Source organism: Homo sapiens, chromosome 13 (genome assembly GCF_000001405.40).
Source record: "Homo sapiens chromosome 13, GRCh38.p14 Primary Assembly".
NCBI lineage: Eukaryota > Metazoa > Chordata > Mammalia > Primates > Hominidae > Homo > Homo sapiens.
The window spans coordinates 53,197,621-53,223,009 of NC_000013.11; the positions used below are offsets into that span (position 1 = coordinate 53,197,621).

Below are 25,389 nucleotides of genomic sequence, written 5' to 3' on the forward strand. Positions count from 1 at the left end.
ACCAGCAGCCCAGAGCTGTAAACACAGCTTCCTGATGACATATCCCTAGGGGGACAGATCATACAGTTTCTATATTATTCAGCTTGTTATTCTACTGGCACAGAACTGATTTTTGCTTCAGAAAAATGTTTCTTTTCTGAAACTCCAGCTGTCTCTCATTCATAAAACGGTGTTTTAATAAGGTGGTTGTTTAGTATGAAACAATGATAGCGCTAATAATGAATCACTAACAATATGGCACACTTCTTATCATGGATGGTCTACTTTATGCCAAACAGCTGGAGGAAACGTGGGGGAAAATGCAATCAAGCATTTGAATATCATAGCTGGATGTTTCCAAACATAAGTATCCAGATGCTTAGTTTTGTGGAGGTAATATGTTTGATTGCTTGCTTTTTAAAATATTTTATCTGGATCTTTTGATGTTCTGTAGGTGGAGTCATGGACTGTTCTTCATTTTCAGTATGCTGAATGATTTTTCTGATCATGGATAATCAGAAAAACAGTAATGCTGAAGACTAGCTGAGAGTAGGCCTGGCAGGAACTGTGTGAGCTAAAGGAGAAGAGGAAGACATGAGACTTGGACTGTGGTTAAATGGGTCCCTCTCCTGGCTAATACATATGGAAGCAGGCACCTTTTAAAGACATCAGCTAAAGCAGATTCAGTTTTCAGTTAAGGGACATATAGCAATTATGATGTTCGGTGGAAGAACCAGATTCTCTTGTCTTCCCTGAGACCCAGAGGCTGAATAACCAGGAACTTCCAGAGATACTTGGTTCTCAGAAAGAAAGAAAGCTGTCCAACATGCCATTGAGGATACTGGCTTAAAAGAAGTCTGTTCTTACCAGGCTGAAGTAGAGCTCTTCTCTTCCTCAGACAGATGCCTCATTAGGCAAAATTAAAAATCTAGGAAAATAGAGTACTTTTTCTTTTTAGGATCTCAGAGTACCCCGCTCAAATGAACTCATGCTTCCCAGTATACTTCCCCAATACCGGTCACCGGTACTTGTAATTAGAGTCATTGCCAAATGCTTCACTAAATGAAAACCCCTGAAAATTAATTATCTCATCAAAGATGGCTCACTTTCAGAACAGGATTCATATGTCCTGGCATTGAAATAAATGCCAACTGCCTCCTCGGAATGAAAGGAAAAAAAAGTCATTTACTGACATGTCCCTGCAGGAATCAATAACATTACAGATCATAGAGGAGACAAGAATAGCCTGGGCATATTAATAACTCCGCCTACTCACTGATTTGAGATGACTAGTTAAATAACATTCTGCACTGATGAGGACTCCATGGCACGAGGAACAATGTCATCATTAACATGTGAGACTGTTTAGCATTTTGAACACTTCACACATAAAAAGAACTTAACACAGGACTATTTATTGGGCTTTAGACAGATGGTTTAATGTTTTTTTAGCCTTCAGCCTATCAGACCACCCGTGGTTTCCTTCAGCCAAGGGCTTTTAAAAAATAATTGGTCTACAGCAATTTTCTAACAAGACTGACTGCAATATATTTCTCTAAATCTTTTTCTTACCCTTAAGTATCCCTTACAGTGGTTTGTGGTTGACAGACTTCTCTGTCTGATACTGGTTCCTCACATATAAGTAATTACTGACATAAAAGGAGATGAAGGGGCTGAAATTTCATCATTAATGGTTTCTTTGCTGTAGAAAAAAACTATTTAGAAATGATTATTTTGGAAAACAGTTCTTCCCTAATTAGACATTGCCTGACACTCTAGAAGATGTTTCCCAAAAATCTTTCAATATAGGAAATGACAACCCAACATAGATGGGTAACTGTAGGTGGCAGAGGATGCATTGCACTAAGCATGTATACGTTTATCTTAAAATGGTAAAGAGGGTCAAATGTGCCTCTGTGTGGGGAATATGTGAGTCTGCTTAGGAAGGAGTAAAGTGGCTGTGGATTCCTGCTCTTATTGTCGAAGCGAGGCCAGTACAATGGAAAAGCAAGCAGGATGTGTTTTTATAGTGCAGAGATCTTAATAACCACCTGCACCACCCTGGCCACTGGTCAGCTCTTCAGGCCCTTCTGTGGGTCCTTTAGTGAAACAGCATGGCCCAGAGGCCCAGAGACTGTGGACTGGCCCAAATGGATGATTATTTGCATATTCTTCTGTATGTAGCTCCCCCAGTAGGGTTCTGAAGAGGCATGCTTAGGCTTGGGGCAGAGAAAAGCAAGTATATAGCAGAGAGGACTTAGTGATGGGATGTTCTAAGGGGAAAAGTGTTTTCTGACTGAGCACTCGGCACTCGGGAGGGCTTGAGAAGCCTGAAAGTCTTAGTGCAGAGCTTGCGATTGGCTTTTCTCTTTGAGGAATAAATGTCTCGCTGGAGGCTCAGATTTCCTGCTGACACTTCATGCAGGGTTGGATTGGAGTCCTTGCTGATTCTGTGGCTGCTGCTAGTGTCAGGATTTTGTACCGATACTGTCAATTTCCTCACCTGTGAGGAAGACACCCCTGGCACCAGCGTCGGTGTTTTGTCTGATCACGTCCAGTTTAATTCGCAGCGCGAGGTGCCAAGTCAGTTTCAGCTGATGAAACAATTCAACAGCTCTCTGCTCCGGGTGCGCGAGGGCTACGGGCAGCTGACCGTCGGGGACACCGGCCTGGACTGCGAGGCGCTGTGCGGCCAGGCCCCGCAGTGCGTGCTGGTCTTCGACGTGGTCAGCTTCTCGCAGGAACAGTTCCTGCTGGTGCACGTGGAGGTGGAGGTGAGGAATGTCAACGACCACGCGCCGCGCTTCCCCCGGGCCCAGATCCCGGTGGAGATGTTTGAGGGTGCGGCCGTGTGCACGCACCCTGGAGGTGCCGGTGGACTAGGACGTGGGCACCAATGGGCTGCAGAGCGTGCGCCTGGCCCAACCGCACAGCCCCTTTTCGCGTGGAGCTGCAGAAGCGCGCGGACGGCGCTCAGTGTGCGGACCTGGTGCTGCTGCAGGAGCTGGACCGCGAGAGCCAGGCCGCCGACAGCCTGGAGCTGGTGGCCCTGGACGGTGGCCGCCCGCTGCGCTCCGCCACGGCTGTCTTCAACGTGTGTGTCCTGGACGCCAATGACCACAGCCCGGCCTTCCCGCAGGGCACGGTGGCCGAAGTGGAGCTGGCGGAGGCGCGCCTGTGGGCTCCCTGCTTCTTGACCTGGACGCAGCCGACCCCGACGAGGGCCCTAACGGCGACGTGGTGTTCGCTTTTGGCGCCTGCACCCAGAGGGAGGCGCGCCGCCTCTTTCAGCTCGACCCGCGGTCTGGCCGCCTCACTCTGGCCGGGCCCGTGGATTACCAGAGTCAGGACACCTACGAGCTGCACGTGCGGGCGCAGGACCGCGCTGCCGCCTGCAAGGTCATCCTGCGCATCCGCGACGTCAATGACAACGCGCCCGACATCGCCATCACCCCGCTGGCCGCCCCAGGCGCGCCGGCTGCCTCGCCCTTCGCCGCTGCCGCCGCCGCCGCCGCCGCCGCCGCCGCCGCCGCTGCCCTCGGGGGAGCGGACGCTAGCTAGTCGGCGGGAGCCAGGACGCCCGAGGCTGGCGCCGCCACGCTGGTGCCGGAGTGGGCGGCGCGCGAGAGTCTGGTGGCTCTGGTCAGCACTTCGGACAGGGACTCGGGCGCCAACCGGCAGATGCGCTGCGCCCTCTACTGGCAGGTGCACTTCCGGCTGCAGCGGGCCTACGCGGGCAGCTGCCTGGTGGTGACCGCGGGGTCGTTGGACCGCGAGCCCATCGCCTAGTACAACCTGACGCTGGTGACCGCGGACCGCGGCGCGCCCCCGCTGTGCACCAGGAGGCCCTACACGGTGCGCGTGGGCTACGAGAAAGACAATGCTCCGCTCTTCACGCGGCCGGTCTATGAGGTATCTGTGAGTGAGAACACCCCGCCCAGCGCCTACCTGGCCACGGTGGCCGCCCTGGACCCGGACCTGGGCCCCAACGGCCAGGTCACCTACCGGCTGCTGGAGGCCGAGGTGGGCCGCGCCGGGGGCGCTGTGTCCACTTAGGTCTCGGTGGACCCAACCACCAGGAGCTGCGCGCTCGACGGCTCTTTGACTGCGAGGAGCTGGCGGAGATGCAGCTGCGGTTGGAGGCGCTAGACGGCTGCTCTCAGCCGCTATGGGGCCTGGCCATAGTGTGGCTGCAGGTGGAGGACCAGAACTACCACGCGCCCCGCCTGGTGGCCCCACTGCTCTCCCACGGCTCAGCCCAGCTGCCTCTGCCCTGGGATGCGCCACTGGGCTACCTGCTGACCCGTCTGCAGGCAAAAGACGAGGACTAGGGCGCCGACGTCGAGCCGACTTACTTAGTCCTCGACAGCGACGGCGGCCCCGGGGTGCTGGCGCTGCACCCGGCTTCGGGTGAGCTGTCTCTGCAGCGCCGCCTGTCCCCGAAGCCCGCCGGCCCGCTGACGGCGGTCATCGCGGTGCGGGACTGAGGCCGGCCCACTCTGAGTGCACAGCCACACTGCTTCTCGTGCCCGCGGGCCGGGCGCCACCTGGCGCAGAAGTGGTGCTGATGCCGCCGCCGCACGAGAGAGGAGAGCCACGCATCAGGCAGCGAATGGGAGGGCAGCTTGAACCCTCCCTGTTCTGGTGGGTGTTTTGGCCAGCGGCTGCATCCTTCTGCTAGTGGCCATCATCACTGTGACTTGTTCTTGCCAAGGCAAGGCTAGGACGCTGGTGAAGAAGATCCGTGAGCACTCCCCAAGCAGATTTCAGGCAACGAGTGACCATGCTGGTCCACGTGTCAGAGCCATAGGGGCTGACTCTGGGGGCTTCTGCTCCAGGTTCTTTATAGACACACGGACAGTTTCCATTTCCACAGGGGCCCAGGCGTTCGAGTCTGTGGAGGATTCCTAGTCTGAGGTCAGTGAGGTGTCTCGGAGCTCCTCTTGTCGGGAGAGGAGCAGGACTGCATGGGCCCAGGTAGGGCACCCCTGCCGTTCTTAGTGTCCTCATTCTCTTGGAGTAGTTTTTCATGCTAGGAGCCTTATGAAAATTCAGTGCTTGATTTGGGACTTCAAATGGCTGATATTTCCGGGCTTGTTTTTTTTTTTTTTTTGGAAAGGAAAAATTATCCACAGGCAAGGTTAGGGGGAGACTTGATTATCACATGTTCATTCATGTAGGCCCATGTCTGTTTCTGCTGTTTTTGCCTATGATAACTTCCTTTGCGTACAATTTGGATACAGTCGACCCTCAGGTTAATGCTGTTTCTGAAGCACTCCGGATGAGGAATGCGGCGCCTGCTCTGTCGGGTTTGATATTAGACGGTGAAATATTATTAACTGCTGCTCTCACCCCTTTTTAAAAATAGGGTTCAATCTCAGTTCCTTTTCATTCCTCATCCCCTTATGGAGAAAATAAATCTGCGGCAAGTTTAAGGTAATTTCAGAATATATGTTGTTATCTCTAAGCAATGTGTTTGACATTTTATACATTTTTATGGATACCAAAGTAATTCTTTCCTTTTCACTTTCAGTATACATTCAAATCTAGATGAATTCAGTATGAAGGACAGTGGAAAAGGAGACAGTGAATTGAATGACAGCCATTTGGATATCAGCAGAGAGGGTTTCAAGAAAACATCCTTTCAAATGATTGCAAAACAAGGGGGTAAGTTCAAACCTGTGGCTTTGAAGCTCTTCCTCTCAAAGCATCATAAGACTCATTCCTGACTTAATTACACTACCAAATAAGTGGCCCCAACTATATATTCATAGAGGGAGTGTCTCGGTCATTTCAGGCTGCTTTAATAAGATACCATAGACTGGGTGGTTTAAACAACAAACATCTGTTTCTCATAATAGATAATGAATTTTATATAGGCTAAGATTCCATTTGCTGGAAACCTATGAGTATGTGATTTTGTTTGGCTTTGCTTTGTTTACAGAATGCTGCACCAACGCAACCTCATTCTATCCAGTCCATCTGCTGTGTCATTTGGGGGTGTGCTTTAGGCCCAATTCTCTGTAATGGTGTCTGGTAATGGAGTGATAGCTCCTGTGGTGAAGACATTATCAATTATGAGGTATTTTGTGTTAGTCTCCATGAAAATGGGCACTAGATCTTTAATCTCTAAAAGAAAATATCTTACTTAAAGAGGAGTCCTAATGGTATGTCCTACTGACTCAAATGCCTCTTCACCATAACAGGTGTTTTTGCACAATCTATGTTCATTTCCTTTGACTTTTTTTTTTTTTTTTAATGAGGGGCTTCCAGAAGCATCCACCTCCTGGTTACCTTCCTCTGAATATTCTCTAGTGTTCAACATATTTCCTAAAATGAGGAACATGAAGTTGTATACAGTGATTCGGTACCAGCCTCTCTTCTGAGGTCCAAATTCGTTTACACAACTGCCTACTCAACATCTCCATTTGGATTCTGAATGGACACGCTATATGTTCAAAACTAAACTCTTGGTTTCTATTCTCCAAACCTGTTTTTCCTCTAGTGTCGATATCTCAGTAAAAATGACACATCTATTCACTTAGTTGCTTGCTCTGGCTTAAATCCTTGGTGTTATTCTTGATTTATTTCTTCCTACACACAACTTTCAATCCATCAGCAAATTCTGTGGAATTTTCTTTCAAAATATATTCTCAATCAATTCACTTCTCACCACATTCATTGCTACCACTCTACCCCAGGCACTGTCATCACTTGCCCGGCAATGGCACTAGCCTCAAACTTGGCTCCTCTGCTTCTACTCTTGCCCTCTTGCAGACCATTCTGCATATGAGAACTAGACTGGTCTCTTACTTCATAAATCAGGTCACATTACTCAACTCTCCAAATACTTGTCACTTAAATAAAATCCCAAATCCTTATCATGATGTCTTAATTACTATTGCTGTGTAACAGGCCAGGCTAAAATGTAGTGGCATAAAACAACCATTTTTTTATGCTCGTGGATTCTGTGGTCAATTTAGACAAGGTATAGCAGGGATGGCTTATCTTTGCTTCAAAGTATCTGGGGCCTTAGCTGGGATGATATGATGGCTGGAGGCTGGAACCGTCTGAAAACTTCTTTAGTTACATGCCAGGTTTGTGGGCTGGGATGAGCCAAAGTTTAGGAGAGCTGACTTGGTGGAGTGGGAAAAAGGGCAGCTTCATGTTCTCTTTACACGTGGCTTGACTTCTCACAGCGTGGCAGCCTCTGCAAAGTCACATGGCAGCTCGGGCTGCAAACATGAATGATTCATCCAACAGGACAGAAGTCACATCTTCTTTTATGACCCAGCTTCTGAAATTACATGATCATTTCTGTCATATTCTATAGTCCAAGCTGTCTTAAGCCCATCCAGATTCAAGTGGCAGGGACAAAGACCCTGTGCCTACCCTAGAAAATTGTCAAAGAGTTTTGAGGTTCATGTTTGTAAATCAGCCACACATGACTCATAAAGTCCTGCATTATCTTGCCCTTGGCTCTTTCTTCTACCTGATTTCTTACCCCTCTTCTCCAGGATGTTTTAGATCATCTTATTGGCCTTCTTGTGTTTTTTGAATACACAACGCATCTCTCCATCTCAGACCTCAGGGTCTTGCTGTTCCCTCACCTGGTAAACTTTCTCTAGATACCCATATTGCTTCCCACCTTCATTTAGGCCTTTGTTCATATGTCCATCTAATCAAAAGAGGTCTTCCAAACCTCAGATTGCCCCTCCTCCCTGTCACTCTCCATCTTCTTTACTCTGCTTTATTTTCTTTCCTGGCATTTATCACTCCCTGGCATTATTTGTATATTTATTTGTTTATTATTTGTCTCTTGTTCCATGTTGAATGGCCACCATCAGATATATACCGAAACAAAAAAACAGAGCTAAACAAAAATCAGCAAATTTACTGGGTGGATAAATGAAAGGTGTGGTCTAACCAGCGCATACATTGAAACTTGTATGACTAGTTCTTATGATCATATTGCACTTTAGATTAGTGTAAAATTGTATTGGTATTTTTTGGAAGTTCCATTGTACTCCCTAACTTTCTGAAAAATTTTAGTGTCATCTTAAAACTTGAAGATTCTATAGTGAATTTATGTTTCCGGGTCACTTAGCGTTAAATTAGCCTTTTCGAAAGAATCAAAGGACCAGAACTCCTATTGTTTATATTTTCTATTTAGGAAATTACCAGCTTATTCTTGTCTTAGTTTCTTCTTCCTAATAATAAGCATGATAACTCAAAGTGCTGCTATGGCAAACGATAATGTGATCAAGGCAATGCATTCAACCTGAGAGAATATTTCTTCTTAGTAATAATAGTCACAACGTTGCTTCTTACCTGTATTCAACAAAAACCTTTTATTTGTTTAATAACATTTACAGAGGACTTCTTATGTACCAGAAACTGTTCTAGGTACCTTATAAATATTAAACTCACTTGAGTCATGCAACAATGCTATTAGGCAGGTACTATCATTTGACCCCATTTCACACATGGGAAACTCAGGCACAGAGCTGTTCGAGTAATTTGGTTGAGGCCGCTCAGCTGTGAGGGGCAGAGCTTGGTCTCCAACCTGGGAAGTCTGGTTCTAGAGTTCATGCTTTTAATGTTCTGCTGTAGCATATTTTTCTGCAGGTTCTTAAACACTTATTTTATGAGTCTTTTAAAGATTTAGGGCCAGTTTACATTCCTGAGGATGTTTCTGTCTTTGAGTTTGAATGAGATGCTCTGATTTATGGTTTGGTTTATCCTCCAACTCTCTGCTGCAGTTTCTTATAAAACTTTTAGTGGGATTATTGAAAGGATGACACATAGGTAATGGCAAGATAATTGAATTACATGTTGATAGCAAGGAGATAAGAAGTTTAATGAAAATATTTTAATTTTTTTGCATCTTTTAATAGTTAACACAGAGCATAAATGAATGAATAAATATACTACCAGCCCTCAGAAACTTCATTTTAGATTGTAATTTCACCCATTCCTCCCACCAAACCTGTATTAAAGATTACAGCAAATAGTTTAATTGACTTGCTTGAATTTTATTTCCACTTCATTTCCTCAGTACACCAGCAGGTGGAGGTGCAAGTCATTGGCAGAAAATCCAGAGGAAGAAAAAAGCAAACAGCTAGAAAACCAGCCCGGGAACAACTGAATATTGTTTACATTTTAAAGTATATTTCTATGTAGCATTCAGTTTTAAACTATTCTCTTTTTTCCAAGTTTTTTTTTCAGATTATTCAGGATGAAAAACATTCAAGGATCCTGAAAAATTAAACCAGGAATCTCAAACCAGCAAAAATTGTTCATCACGTCATGAAAATAGCTACAGGGTTGAACTTTCTTCAAGTACCCTTTACCCTCACATTTCCCAGATGAAAAATACAAATTTCCAACCAGAACACTCAGAACTCAATTGATGTTCTTTTCAAGTCTGTGCCTCCCAAGTGAAGGGCTGCCAAGTGTCTATGACAGAGTTCAAAACTGCAGACCAGCAATGCCACTTCCCCATTGTTGGACAGAATGATGAATTAAATCATCCTTCAGTGGATGGATCACCTTCACATACTTCAGAAAATGCCACTTCATTCTAAAAAGCTGCAATTCACATAGATGGTCATTTCTGTCAAGTGTTTACAAGCCAGGTTACATGCATGAGCCTTCTAGTTTTGATATACATTTTCTTAAATTAAGTTGACAATCCGTGACACAGCACAGGATGATTTTATAGAATCTAGGATATTTTACCAAAAAGTCTTAAAAGTGGTCTTTATTGCCATGAATATAATAAATGATCATGAATTTTATATTCTAGTACCTTTTATGAATATAAATATTCAGTCTAGCTACTCATTTACATTTGAATGTGTATGTGATTCTACTGCGAATGCAATTCAACTTCAGAATAACTTTAAGTTGAATTAAGAACCTGGACCCGGACCTTAATCATGAGACCCAGTGAGGAGGAAGAGGAAGCTGTGGGCAGGCAGTATTTGAGTGGGGGTTACTCAAATTGTCTCTCTAGCCTGGCTTCTGAGAGAGTTGCTGAGTGTTTCATGGGTATAACAGTGGCAGATTATGGCAGTGGGTGAAAATCAAATGGCAGTGGCTGATGATGTGTTTCTGGGCACTTATCCCATTCACAGCATCAGCTCAATCAGAGGCTGCGGCTACAGGGAGGAGCATGGTGAGAGAGAGCGAGAGAGAGAGCGAGAGAGAGAGAGAGCAAGAGAGAGTGAGTGTCTTATGGCCTCAGCCATCTGGGCTAGAGTTCCTAGCAGAACTCCTTCCTAGCTATGAACAGGATGCTAGGAGAAAACTGAGGCATAAAAGCAAGGATTAAAGGAAGAGTTGGGCCCCAAATGTAGTGACTTAAAAGCTACTTGAGCAGCTGGGCTTCATCTGGGTCCAACCAGATCCAGGGGCAGCAAGGCTGGGTGATGAGATGGAAGCATCTGATTGTGTCTTGTTTTCTGTAAGATTGGCTCGGACTGTGGGAAGAATTGAGTCAGCAAACTGCAGGATGTTTTGTGTCTCCAACTAGAAGAGCCTGGGGGTCATTAAGATTTGATGGGCAGGAACTGTGCTGCCCAATACTATAACCACTAGCCACATGTGGCTGTTTAAGTTTAAATGAATTACAACTGAATACAATGAAAAATGCTTCAGTCTCAGACAGAGTCACTATAAAATGTTTCCATCATCACAGAACGTTCTGATGGACGGCATTGGTCTGGAAGAAGGGATGAGCCGGAGGTCTACCTTCACAGGCTGGGAATTGAAGGTAGCCAATGACCCACTGTCCTTGCTCAGCACATATATGGGGAAATGTGTGTTTTTGTCTGTTTTCCACCCTTCCAAATGTGGAGAACTAACTAGCTCATGACAGTTAGCCTTTTAATGTTTCATGTATTTTAAAATGAATTGACACATTATTCATTATATAATCTTTGAAAAAATGTCTAAAGGCAAGAATTCTCAATGGTAGAAGGTTTTCTGTAGGCTGGAGAATTTCTAAAGGCTCCTCTGCTATAGTGCCTTAAATTTATAGTCCTCATATTCATTCCAATAACTTCAGAGATTTTGTAGCAATAGTCAGATAAAACCTACTGCTCTTACTCCTAAACTCTCCCAAAAATAATTCAGCAGTTTTTAAAACCAGTAATTTATTCCTTAGCCACGCTCAGGCAAGAAGCTAGGAAGAACTTCAATCCTTTGGCCACTGGTCTGCCATAGAAAATTACTGCTGTTGGAAATTAGTTTCTGAGTCCCATGTTATCTTCGAGAGTCAGTGTGTCCTCTGAAGTGTGAGCTTTCCAGATCGGGTGGTCTAGGCCCCAGAGAGACTGTGGCAAATGTGAATGTTCCTTGCTTTATCTGATACATATCTTAAAAGTAAATTGGACACCTGTCTTTTGGGTTACATCTAATAATATTTGAAAATTTTAGAGTAATTTTTTGTGTAAGTGCATTCTGTGGGAAACATTTTTTAAAAGCTGAGAATCTAAAACTTTTCCTCAAATTTACAAATGTAGAATTAGATATTTTTACTTTTCTTAAAATGAGGCTCTCATGTGTTTGTGATATTAGCTTCTACCTTAATTATGATTCCTAAAGCAATTTATAACTCCTGAATCTTGTCTGTTTATGATTGCATTCCTAAGAATAATAATAGGCAATCTTTATCAAACACTATATGCAAGGTTCTGTGCTAAATGCTTTACATGAATTATTGTTTTTACACCTTGTAACAATCCTAGGAGGTAATTATATTACTACTTTAATTTTATAGATGAGGAAATGAGTTTAAAGAGGGTAATATGCTTGAGGTTACACAGTAAGCAAATGAGCTTAGAGTTTAAAAAATTATGGTATAGGCTGGGTGCAGTGGTTCACGCCTGTAATCCTATCATTTTGGGAGGCCGAGCAGGTGGGTCTCTTGAGCCCAGGAGTTCAAGACCAGCCTGGGCAGCATGGTGAAACCCCATCTCTACAAAAAATATAAAAATTAGCCATGCATGGCAGTATGTGCCTGTAGTCCCAGCTTCTCAGGAGGCTGAGGTGGGAGAATCACTTGAGCCTGGGGAGGTTGAAGCTGCAGTGAACTGTGATCACACTACTGTACTCCAGCCTGGGTAACAGAGGGAGACCCTGTCTCAGAAAAAAAAAATTACGGTATAACACTAAAGTGCATGAGTTTCGAGTTTACAGCCAGATGAAGTTTTATATATATTCACTCTTGTAAGCACCACCTAGATCAAGGTTTGGAATATTTCCAGATCCCTAGACGGCTCCCACATATACCTTCCTGGGCAATACCTCTTCCAGAAGTAACTACTATTTAGAATGTAAGAATTATTATAGCCATTACGGAAAACAGTATGGACGTTCCTTAAAAAATTAAAAATAGAACTACCATATGATCCAGCAACCCCACTTCTAGATGTAAACCCAAATGAAACAAAACCAAAACCACTATTTTGAAAAGGTATCTACACCCCCATGTTCATTGCAACATTATGTATAATAGCCAAGATACAGAATCAACCTAAGTGTCTATAGATGGATAAGTAGATAAAAATGGCAGTATCTATATCTATATATCTATATCTATATATGCAGTATATATATACACACACACACACATACATACGTATGTATGTATAGTGGAGTGTTATTCAGCCTTAAAGAAGAAAATGTTAACCATTTGCGACAATATGGATGAAAGTGGAAGACACCACGCTAAGTAAAATAAACCAGTCACAGAAAAATACTGCACAATCTCACTTATGTGTGCAATCTAAAAAAGTCAGATTCATAGAAGAGTGGAATGGTGGTGTGCTAGGTGAGGGGGAGAGGAAACTGAGAGATGTTGGTCAAAGGGTACAAAGTTTCAGTGAGGATACATAAATTCTAGAGACTTAACGTTCAGCATAGTGACTATATTGCTGAATTTGATTCTTGAGATTTGCTAAGAGAATGTATCTTAAATGTTCTCACCACATGTGGAAAAAACAACTATCTGATTTTTAGCTTGAATATAGTAATCAATTCACTATGTATATGTATATGAGAACATCATGATGTGCAGCTTAAATATATAAAATTTCAATTAAGAAATTTAAAAGAGGTAATTATTATTCAAATCTTTTTCACTATCTATTACTTTTTGCTGTGTTTAAACTTCACATAAATTATACAATTTATACTTTTGGGGCCTGGTTCAAAATTATGTCTATGAACTTCATCCATGCTGTGTATATCATAGTCTGTGCATTCTCACTGCTGTATAGTAGTCCATTGTATGCATTTACCACAATTTATCCATTGTATAGTTGGTGGAGATTAGGGCAATTTTCAGTTTTTGACTTTTGTGAATAAGGAATTAATTTACACATTTTTTGGTAGACATAAACACTTATTTCTGTTGGCCATATACCCAGGAGTAGAATTGTTGTGTCAAAGAGTGATGTATCTAGGGTTTGAACCTTGAATTTTTTTTTTTTTTTTGAGACTAGGTTTCACTCTGTTGCCCAGGCTGATTTTGAACTCCTAGGCTCCAGCAGTCCTCCTGTCTCATCCTCCCTAGTAGCTGGGATTACAGGTGTGCACCCCTGCACCCAGCTTGAACCTTGAGTTTTCTGACTCCACTATTATCCATTGTGTAACACTCATTACATCAATAGTGGCTAATAAAGACTGAGAGCTCTCTATGAGGTCTTTAAGCTTTCATTTTCTAAGTAGGGTGTTGATTCAGTAGAGAACTTTCTATAAGCTTAACTAATAACAGCAGGGGGAAGTCTTCTATTTGTTCAACAAATAAGAGAGTCTTTTACATTATTATTAAATAGCTGATGTATTACAATGTATGTGGAACACTTAGTAGCTTCTCTTTGAAAACAGCATGATAATATCCATCTTGACAGACTTGCTTTATTCATTGAAATGTATACAGTAAGAGTAGAGTTAGCAATTGATCATTCATTTACTTGTATACTGTAATTAGCCAAGGAAGAAACAAATCAATTTAAAACCAATTTCCATAGGCTACACATGCACAGGAATTGATTGCAGACTTGAATTTGCTGAATAAAAAATGAAGCTGGCTTATCTCAATTTGTATTTCATCGAGTGAATGTCAGCTATTGATTTCTGTAACTTACTACTGGTGAGGCAATCTGTCTGTCATTCTTTAAAGGTAGCACAGCACGATCGCTATGCCGTTTAATTAGGTGTGGTCTAGTCATTTCACTGTTTGAGGAAGATGAAATATTTAGCTGTAGTGGAAGGAAAAACCTCAGCCAGATGCCTGCTCTATCACCCTCTTTCAGACTGGTACTCATCTTAATTTAATGCCCATTGATTCTTATTGTTAGATGTTGTACAGAGTAGCCCTTTTGTAATGTAGTGTTGGAAGACAAAGCTAAAATGGACTTTACAGGCTAACTGAACTCTCTCAAGCTTTCTTGAACTCTTGACAATGCAGCATTACATTCTAGGGGAATGACTTGACCTGTGTGTTATAGAATAGGTTTCCACAGTGTGCCAGGTTTTCTTAGAGAGTAATTCATGTTGCCATTGTCATACAGGATTTGTATAGTCTTTGACAAGTTGCAATGTCTTTTTCCCTGGCGCAACACAGAAGATGTAATGTTTAACTATATCTGAACACTACCGCTTATGTAAAAAATTGTCTGAAATAACAGTGAAATAATGTCTTCTTTCTTAAAAGAAGTATCACAACCTCTTTATCTCTTCGTTTTCGGTTTCCTCACCTGTAAAATGGAGGAATAGTACCTACTTCATTGCTATTTTATGCTAGCTAAATGAGACAGTATGTTTAAAATGCATACAGCAATGCCTTTCACCTAGTAATAACTTAATAAGTATTTATTATTATTAATGTCAGATTTTTTTAATGGAGTCTTGCTCTGTTGCCCAGGCTGCAGTGCAGTGATGCAATCTCAGCTCATTGCAACCTGTGGCTCCTGGATTCAAGCGATTCTCCTGCCTCAGCCTCCAAAGTAGCTGGAATTACAGGTGCTCACCACTATGCCCAGCTAATTTTTGTATTTTTAGTAGAGACGACGTTTCACCATGTTGCCCAGGTTGGTCTCGAACTCCTGACCTCAGGTGATCCACCTGCCTCGGCCTCCTAAAGTGCTGGGATTACAGGCGTGAGCCACCATGCCTGGCCAAAAATGTTTTTAATGTCATTAATATTATTCGTTTTTCTCTTCCTTTGTTTAAATTGGCATCATATTCTAAATATTCCTACATTTTTTCTCTATTTCTTTCTGCTTGGTGCAATTAATACTTTCCATCTTTTTTGGTTGGTTACCATTATTATTTTTTAAACTAACTTTTCAAATAGGTGACCAAAAATGATTTAAATCCCTGGGGACCATAATATTTTTGACAGCAGTATGAGACTGATTTTAAAAATATTCCTTGGTAGAAACTTTTTTTTTTACAATAGTTCTTATAAAGTTAGATCAGTTGGTCATTTTGTCTACAGCTATATTTCAAGCCAGTGGCAATCTTGACAGATGTATGAGGTATTTAAATGGAAAGATCAGAGTTCAGTAATAATAAATATACTGATACTTTAGTTTAAAGATTATACAATAATCTCACAAAAGTAGGTATCCCCCTTTTACTTACTTTGACACGTGTTAATGTGCCGTTTAATTGAACCTGTAAGGCTACCTGCTCTGTATCCCAAATACTCCCATCAGGGTGTAGTTGTAATACCCTGCAAGAGGCATTAAGTAATAAAAGGGTAAATGATCAGCTTCTAGCTCAGGCCACTGTAACTGGGGAGATTATTGATAGTGAGGCATTGCTACATAATAAGAGAGTCTTCCAGGTAGGACTCAATCTGAAAGGTATTTTTCTTCCATCTAAAACCAGGAAAACCTATAGAACATCTCCTACATAACCCAGAAGACATTCACAGACATTTATAGACATTTTTGCAGACATGTTTATAAAAGGCATACTGGTCCTTGCTGGTTTTCAGCTTCATCTCTGGTCACCTTCTTACTTGCACTTCCTGTCTAAGTGTCACCGTAGAAAGGGCAGCCACAGAGACAATAAGTCAAGCTCTGATCCCAGGAGCCAGGCCCACTTCTCAGCCCTGAGACCAGAATCCACTCAAGAGTCTTTAGAGAAATAGGTACCTGAAATGCATGGATAACTGGTTCATTTGAGTCCATGTCCCTGAGCAACCTTCCTCCTTCTGCCTATGACGTAGTGTTCTGTGTAGGTATGTCTTTAGGGGGAGAATGGGCTGGACATGTAAGAGCATGCATTGTGTTCTTGTGCAAATTAGAATTTTCATTGTATATTAAATTGTGTTTTGGTTTTATACATTAGTTCCATGAGGTTGAGTTGATGTGATTCTGCTATTCAGAGAAGGATCTCATTCATATTGCTGAATAACCAGGGTTCTGAGTCTGCATATCTGAAAGCTGGATCCTGTATTATGTCCAACTGACAAAGACAATAAATGCAAGTCCCTAAGGCTTCCTAGGGGACAGCCCACAGGTCCTTCTTTAGGCAGTATTCTACCCTGATCCCAACCTTGGACAAGGCAGAGTGTGGAATATCCTTTCTTAATTAATTATGTCTATCAGTCACGATGATGGAGTAATAACTAATATCAGTAGAGCTCCTCCTGTGTACAGTGCTAGTACAATCCTGTGAAGCAGGTACTGTGATTATCTTTCTCCTCCATATAAGAAAATTGAGGTTAAATCACTTAACAAAGTCACAGAACCAGTGTGTGGTGAAGTTTCAATGCCTGGGCATGTCTTCTGGGTTCAGCGCATATTCCACACTGCCTTCCTGCCTTTCCTCTAGCTTATTAGTTCTTCATTTTATTATGTGTATAGGCTTGGAAATCAAAGTATCGAAAACCCCATTTTGGTAGTTTCTTTGCTTAAATCACCAGGAGCAAATGAACAGTCTAAATGCACATTCAACCACTTGAAGCTGTGATCGGGTCCCTGGTTGAGTGCCGCTCATCCATCATGCATGCTCCTGATAGACATGACAGGTCTTGCACAAAGAGGAGCTTTTTTCCCTCTCTCGGTGGTACTTCCTTTGAGGCATGCTACTGTTCAGGGCCCTGTTGAGATTTTGATTAAAAAAGACAGATATTGTGCAACTTCCATTAATGTTCTATTTCTCCTGTAGCAAAATGTAGGCTCTTGGAACTTTCTCAAGGGAATTTAATTTTCCATGTCTGTTGGCAAATTTAATTTTGAGTTTTACATAAAACACTAGAAAACAGTTAGTGGCCTGGTCCGGGGTTTATACTTGTAATTCAATGATTCTTTTAGGTGATTTTAACCTGTTTGCAACCTATTTTGTTGTCGTTGTTCTGTAATTCACAAACCACTAACTTTCTAAAATAAAACTACTTTTTAAAACTACTCTTTAAAATAAAAGAAAACTACTTTTTAAAATAATAAATACTTTTTCTGAAGTATTTAACTTTCTTTTGCCCTCCTCTATATGGTTATGGTAATGTCATCTGACTTATTTTTATATTGCTCCCTAAAGGGGAAGAAAACCCTAAGCTGAGAAACTATGAAAATCCATTTTGAAAGTGCTCAGTGCACAATAACTAATGTTAAGACAGCACATTATACACCTGAACAGTTCTATAATGCCTCCAATGATACTGTGCCCTTGTTTATGTAGATATAAATCAGTGCCCCAGTCTTTACCTAGCTCCATGTATATATAATTTTCATTAATTCTGTGACTATGTCAGCTTTGTCAATAACCTGAATATTTTCCTTCTCTCTCCTCTGTGGCTTTAATTTTTTTACCTCCTGGATACTGTTTATTTTTTTCCTACTCATTAGTGTTTTTCTAGTATTAGAGCTAAAGTAGAAGAGTGAGGAAAGTCAAACATATATATTTGACTTTTTTGTGATTTGGCCCATCAGGTGTTTTAGAAAAGTGATCAAATAAATCAAGCAACCAGTACAAAGTTTAGAGCTTCAGTTTCTACTAATATTTTTCTAGATACATGGAATAAATTGGAGTAGGGAGTGGATACGAATACTAGCTTTCTGCAACTGTTATCAGCTTCATCCCATAAGGGTACTTTTCTTTTTCTGGCATCCCACACAGTCATACTTATAATTCCATGCAATTCATTGCCCACATTTCCTCAGAAAGACTAAGCTAAAACTTGGAGAATAATTGAGTTAGATATCCAAGTTCTTGTTTTAAAAAAGCTTCAAGATTATTGACTACAAGAGTCACATTTATAGACTTCACTTAGCCATAAATATACAGAAAAGTGAAAGAATCCGGTTTTATGCAATGATAATTTTTTAAACAGTTGCCATAGCTGAAATCCATGCTTTCTAAAGCAAACCAAAGAAGAGATTCAATGAAAAAACATTTTTCATGGACTGAAGGTTAGTAATTTTAGTTACTTAGATGACCTTAGGAGAAAAAGTCATACATGCATGTCCTACCAGCTTTAGAGGTTGTCCATATTCAGCTGGACTTGTGAGCCCCTTTTATAGAGTTTTCCTTCTTGCTAAGCACCTGCTCTGTCTAGAAGGGAAGGAGACAGCTGAGCTTGGGGACAGACTGGGGCCCAGCTGTCTGGAAGGAGGGTTCTTTTCTATAGCCATCTGCTCCTTGCTTAGTGAGCTCCCCATCAAACACCCAAGTTCACAGCAGCTTGGAAAGGTGATGGATTTACTGCTGTCCCTGATGGTTGAGATGGTTGTCCTTGATGATTCAGATAACCTCCCATCTTCAGTTTTGTAGAAACCTGGGCTGGGATGTTTTGGGAAATGGAAAATATATACTACAATCTTATTTCATTCATTTTTCCCTCTCCATTTTCTCTTTATGCTTAAGATCTAATCAAGTTAGAAGTATTAAAAGTCTGATCTCTATGCAGCCAGTCCAGAGTGACAGCAGATAAGCTTTTGCCTTCTCCCTGTATAGGGTTGTTATGGACTGAATATTTGTGTGCCACCAAAATATATATGTTGAAGTCCTAACTCCAAATATGATGGTATTAGAAGGTGGGACCTTTGGGTGATAATTGGGTCATGAGAGTGGAGTCCTCATGAATGGGATTAGTGCCCAAATAAAAGAGGCCCTAGAGATCTTTTTCATCCTTTTTCTGCTATCTGAGGGTACAACAAGCAGCCAGTACAGTTTTCAATCTGGAAGAGGGCCCTAAGCAGGACCCAGTGATGCTGGCATCCTGATCTTGAACTTCCAGCCCCCAGAATTGGGAGAAATAAATATCTGTTGCTTATAAGCCATCCAGTTAATGGTATTCTGTTATAGCAAGCCTGAACTGGCTAAGATAAAGGCCTTAGTAATTATCTTGTTTGACATCAGTAGACTTTCAGGAAATACTTGTTAAATAATGAGATGACTAAGCCGAGAAAAGTGTTAGGTAAATGAAAATTTCATTTAAATAGAATTAGCATACTTTTATGTCTGTATTTTATTTTAAACTCCATATGAACATGCTGAAGGCATGTTTCTTCCTTTTTTAGCCCTGGATGAAATAGAGTCAAGCTTTACCACTTCTTTAGTAAAGGATGAATGAAAATCTACATGGCATTATATATAGTTCAGCCACTCTGAGTATCAGCATATTTTAAGTCTATTGTTTGTGTTGCAAAAACTTAGGCATAAATTCATCTCCTTGCAGAAGATCTTGTTCTGAAGACCTATAGAGTTTGTGTTGGGAAATGATTAGATGTGCTTGAGATTGGGTTGCATGAATGTGGCTTGGTAGCCTGGAGGCCTTCCACAAGGAGAAGTGACTTCAGGCTATGAATGTCAGTATGTGTGCCAGGCATAGGACTGAGGCTTTCTGTTGCATACCTCTAACCTTTGCAGACTTCTGAAAGGTAGATATTATCACCCCCATTTTAAGATGAGGAAACCAGACTCAGAGAAGTTAAGTGACTTACCTAAGGGCACAAGTTATAAAATTGTCAAACTGAAATTTTAATTATGTAAGTCTGATTTGAGAGTTCAAATATTGTTTTACTATATTTTGCTGCCTTTTTTGGTAAACCTGGCAGTCACATTGTTTGGTTCTGCTCATGTTTCAGACATGTATCAATAAACACAGTGGCAAATGTATCATGCACCATTAAACAAGGTGTTTCACACGTGTCACTAAACACAGTTAAATGGAGACTGTGAGCCACTAAGCACAGTTTTTCACACATATATTATTAAACACAATATGCCCCCAGTGACTAAGGTTCTTATCTTGAACCACAGCCAGTTGTGTTTTTAGTGGTTAGGTGTCAAAAAACAAACAAACAAAATCTTATATATCAATAATCTCCCTGGCAAGCTGCATGTGCTTCATTTTAATATGTACATTTCTCCTTTCAGGGGATTATCTGATGGATATGCAGCCCATGCATTCTTCTAGATACCCTAAAATGTACCTATAGATCAAGGCAAGCGTTTTTTGATCTATATACCTGGAATGAATCACTCTGCCCTCCAAAAGACTTGTTTTTGCTACACTTGGCTTTGGATGTGAGCCAGAGGGCCAACTTGGGGGTAACAGTGTAAGAGGAAGAGTTATGAAACTCACAATTGTATTTATTGTAAGGATGTTTTTGCCTATTTCCCCCGTTAGTTCTTTCAGTTTTTGCTTTCTGTATTTTGAGGCTATGCTATGTAAACACAAATTTAGAATTGTTTTATTTTTCTGGTAGATTGTTGTATCTTTCTGCTAGATTGACCCTTTCGTTATTATAAAATCCCTATTTATCTCTAGTGATGCTTCTTTCTTTCCTTACAAAGTTAGAAAAATTTAATTGCAAAAAACATGTAAAATATGACATCTTAACCATTTTAAAGTGTATAACTGAGTAGTTTTAAGTATATTAACACTGTTGTGCTCTAGTAATTCTTATTTCTTAAAATCTACTTTAAATGATAGTATAGCATATTGGTTTATCGGTTTTCTTTTGTTTATTGTCTTCATGGCATATCTGTTTTCATCTTTTTTACTTTCAGTATTTGTGTGTCCACACATTAAAGGTATGTCTCTTAGAAGAAGCATAGTTTTTTAAAATAAAACTATCCTGAAAATTTTAGTCTGAGAACAGCTTATTTATATTTATGTAATTATTATTTCATGTACTTACATCTATTGTTTTGCTGTTTGTTTTCTTTATAGATTACATATTATAATCTGTATAGGTTGTTTCATTTTTCTTCTAGTGGTTAGCCTAGAGATTACAGCATGCACACTAGATTTAAGATAATCTATTATGAATTATAACTTTTTGTCACTTCCTGAAAAATGTCAGAATGAAGAACAGTTTGCATTGACCCCTCTCTTATCTTTTGTGCTTTTGTCATGTATTTTAATTTCACATATACATGATACTTCATAAGCTAATATTTGTATTGTTTTATATGGTCAATATCTGTTTAGTTTGACCCACCTATTTATTTTCTGTTATTCTTAATACATTTCTATGCTACCATCTGGGGTCATTTTCTTCTGCTTGAGGAACTCATTTTAATAATTCTTTTCCTCTGAACCTGCTGGATGAGAATTCCCTGTATTTAATTTATCTGAAAACATTGTTCTTTCTTTTCCATTTAAAAACAAAACGTCATCAAACTACAACATACATGCAGAAAATTGCACACCTCGTAAACATACAGCTCAATGAATCTTCACAAACTGAAAATCAGCGCTGTGTAAAAGCTCAAGAAAGAGAACATGACTAGCATTCCAGGAGCTCCTCATGCTCCTTCCAGTCACTATTGCTTCCAAAGGGTGTCCATTCTTCTGACCCCTAACATCATAGATTATATTTGCCTATGTTTGAATTTTGCATATGTGGAATAATATGTTATATGCTCTTTTATGACTGACTTCTTTTATCAGTTTTATATGTGAACTTGTGATATTCACTGATATTGTTGCATGTAGTTTCATAAAGTTGGTGCTTATCTGTGTAGTATTCCATTGTGTGGATATACAGATATTTATCCATTCACTATTGATATGGATTTGGGTAGTTGCCAATTTTGATTGATTACATATAGTGCTGCTATGAAATTTTAGTACAAAATTCATGTTCTTCTCACATGCAAAATACATTTGCCCCATCCCCACAGCCCTCAAAGTGTTAACTCATTCCAGCAACAACTCCAAGTCCAAAGTCTCATCTAAATATCATCTAAATCAAGTATGGATAAGACTTGATGTATGATTCATCCTGAATTAAAATTCCTCTCCAGCTGTGAACCTCTGAAATCAGATAAATTATGTGCTTCCAAAATACTATGGCGGGACTGGCATAGAATCGACATTCTTATTCTAAAAAGGAGAAATCAGAAAGAAGAAAGGGGTGATGGGTCCCAGCTAAGTTCAAAACCCAGGAGGAAAATTCCATTAGGCCTTAAGGCTAGAGAACAATCCTCTTTGGCTTGATGCTCTGCTTTCTGGGCCCACTGGAGTGAATGTTTCTCCCCTGTGGTCTCAGGCAGCAGCACTGCCCCCAAGGCTCTGGTTGGCAGCCTTGAGCTTGAGGCACTGGGTGGTGGCAGCCTGGCCATTGACACCAAGGAGGAGCACACTTGCCCCTGGGGCCGGCCTGTGTATTCTGGGCCTGTGGTGGGAGTGGCACCCCTGCTAATCTCTGAATAGCCTTCAGCGTCATTTATTCTTTTTCTTGAAGGATGATGCATGTTTCTAGCCAAATAGCTTCACTGTTCCATCCTGTGAAATCCCAGAAATCCAACAGTCTTCCTGCATTTTGTCCATGCTGGCAGTGTTTCTACCGGTACAGACTCACCTCTACTTCTGGTTTCTGCTGACATGGCTGCTTGGATCCACTGACAATCTCTTTTTGGGGTGATTGTCCAGTCATACCCTTGGTGTTTACAACTTGCATTATACTTTTTTATCCTGCAAAATGAACAGGCTGAGAATTTTCCAAATCTTTAAGTTCATATTCCTTTTTGCTTAACAACTTCTTCAATTGATCTTTCTCCTTTCACATTTAAGTAGTAAGGAGAAACCAGGCCACACCTTCAACACTTTGCATAAAAATCTCTTCAGCTAAATATCCAATTTTATTGCTGGCAAAATTTTACCATCTATAAAACGCTAGAAAACAATTCAGCCCAGTTCTTTGCCACTTTATAACAAAGATTACCTTTTCTCTGTTGTACAATAACATATTCTTTACTTACTCCAAGTTCTCACTAGAATCACCTTTAATGTCCATATTCCCACCAACCTGTCTCAAAAACTCTTTTGGCCTGTGCCCATTACCCAGTTCTGAAGCCACTTCAATACTTTTAGATAATTGCTTTAGCAGCACAGTACAGCACAGTACCAAAATCTGTTTTAGTCTGCTAAGGCTGCCATAATGAAATACTACAGCCTGGGCTTAAACAATGGAAATTTATTTTCTCATCATTCTGGAGGTGGAGTCCAAAATCAAGGTGCCAGTAGTGTTGCTTTCTCCTGAGGCCTCTCTCCTTGGCATGCAGGTGGCTACCTTCTCTCTGTGTCCTCATATAATCTCTTCCCTGGGCACATGTACTCCTAGTGTCAATTTCTTTTCTCATAAGGAAATCAGTCCTATTGGATTAGGGCCTCTTCCTTATAATCTCATTTAACCTTAATTACCTCCTTAAGGACCCTGTTTCCAAATGTGGTTACACTGAAGGTTGACACTTCAACATATGAATTTTGGGAGGACACAATGTAGTCCTTAACAGAGCTCAAGTTACATTTTTTCCCCATATAGATATCCAACAGACCCAACACCATTTAGTATGAAGATAAACTTTTATGCACTGAACTGTGGTTTTGCCATTATTGTTAACCAGGTGGCCATGTATGTGAGGCTCTGTTTCTTAGGTCTGTGTTCTCTTCCATAGGTAGGTTTGTCTATTACTGCATCATTACCTTGCTGACCCTACAATAGGTTTTAGTATATGATAGAATAAGACTCCAGTTTTGTTCTTCTTCTAAATTATTCTGTTTATTTTTGACTCTTTATTTTTATAAGAATAATCAGTAAATTTTGTCAAAGTATGGGCTAAAATTTTATTGTGATTGCATTGAATCTATAGGTTTTAAAAAATGTCTCTCATCAGTGTAGAGGTCTTGAGCATATTGAAGACCTCTATACCTCTTTAGACTTAATTCTAAGAATTTGATGTTCTTTGATGCTGTTGCGAAATATCTTATTACACGTTTTGGAAGATATTTTTGTAAGATATGGATTTCTAGGTTGGCAGTTGTTTTCTTTCAGCACTTAAAAATGATACTCCATTATCTTCTGGATGCTATTATTTTATTTTTGAAAAGTTACTGTCAGTCCTATTATTGCAACTTTGAAGGTAGTGTGTCATATTTTCTTTGACTGCTTTTCAGAGTTTCCTCTTCATCTTTGTTTTTCAATGGTTTTACTATGATAGTTAGTTTCCAACGATGTTCCTCTAATGAATTATGCCTCGTAGTATTTATGTCCTTACGACGTGCCTCTCCTTTAATCTAGGATAGCTGTGACACTTCTGACTAGTAAACTACACCAGCTTTCGCACTGCATTGCTTCCAAAGCCCAGACATAAGAAGTCTTGCTGCTTGCTTGGCTTTTTGGAACACTCACTATTAGGATGCTCCTGTGGGAAACTGTTGAGAAGTGCAACTCCTCTGAGACCACTGTGCTGCAAGAGAGTCAAGCCACATAGAGAAGCCCTGAAAGATACTAGAACATAAGTTTCTACTGGGGAGCGAGAGAGGGGAAGATAGGCAGAGAGAGAGAATGCGGGAGATAAAAAAAATCTGAGATAAAAGATACAAGATTGAGCCATTTTGGAAATCTAGCCCAGTCCAGCTTTCAGACAATGATAGCCCTGGCACTACTGACTGCAGCTGCATGAGAGACCCAAGCAAGAACTGTGTAGCTGAAGTTGATTAATTCACAGAACTAGGAGAGCTGTTATAATAATTGTTTTAAGGCCGTAAGTTATGGTGTGGTTAGTTACATTGAAATAGATAAATGGAACAAAAATAATATCTATATTATTTTCTGGGTGTGGTTGTAACACATCTTAAAAAATGTGGCGTCTGCTTTGGGACCAGTAGCAGGAGGAGGATGGAAGATGCTCAGGGATTGTTCATGGAAACTTGAAGGACAGTGAAGAGTCTGTAATTAGAGGCTGGAGGAAAGAAAACACATGCTATGTAGTGTCAGAAAATTTAGGAGAACTGTTGTCTCTGATATAGGATGGACAATAGAAAATATACCTAATGAAATAGTGAAACTATGTATGGATATGTCACAAGGAAAATTGGTTATTTTTTAGCCATGTATAATAAGGTAAAGAGGAAGAGAGAGAAGCGCTAAG

At 40.9% G+C, this 25,389-nt stretch overlaps 1 pseudogene, besides 1 other annotated feature; it reads left to right on the forward strand.

The window, feature by feature from the left end:
• On the forward strand, positions 2,412-4,671 carry PCDH8P1 (protocadherin 8 pseudogene 1; annotated as a pseudogene).
• Positions 4,308-5,025: an enhancer, noted in NCBI's record as "H3K27ac-H3K4me1 hESC enhancer chr13:53776063-53776780 (GRCh37/hg19 assembly coordinates)". NCBI's record gives its function as "activates a minimal SCP1, AML or CMV promoter by ChIP-STARR-seq in naive H9 embryonic stem cells {active_cell/tissue: H9 hESC(naive)}" and the evidence as "EXISTENCE:reporter gene assay evidence [ECO:0000049][PMID:30033119]".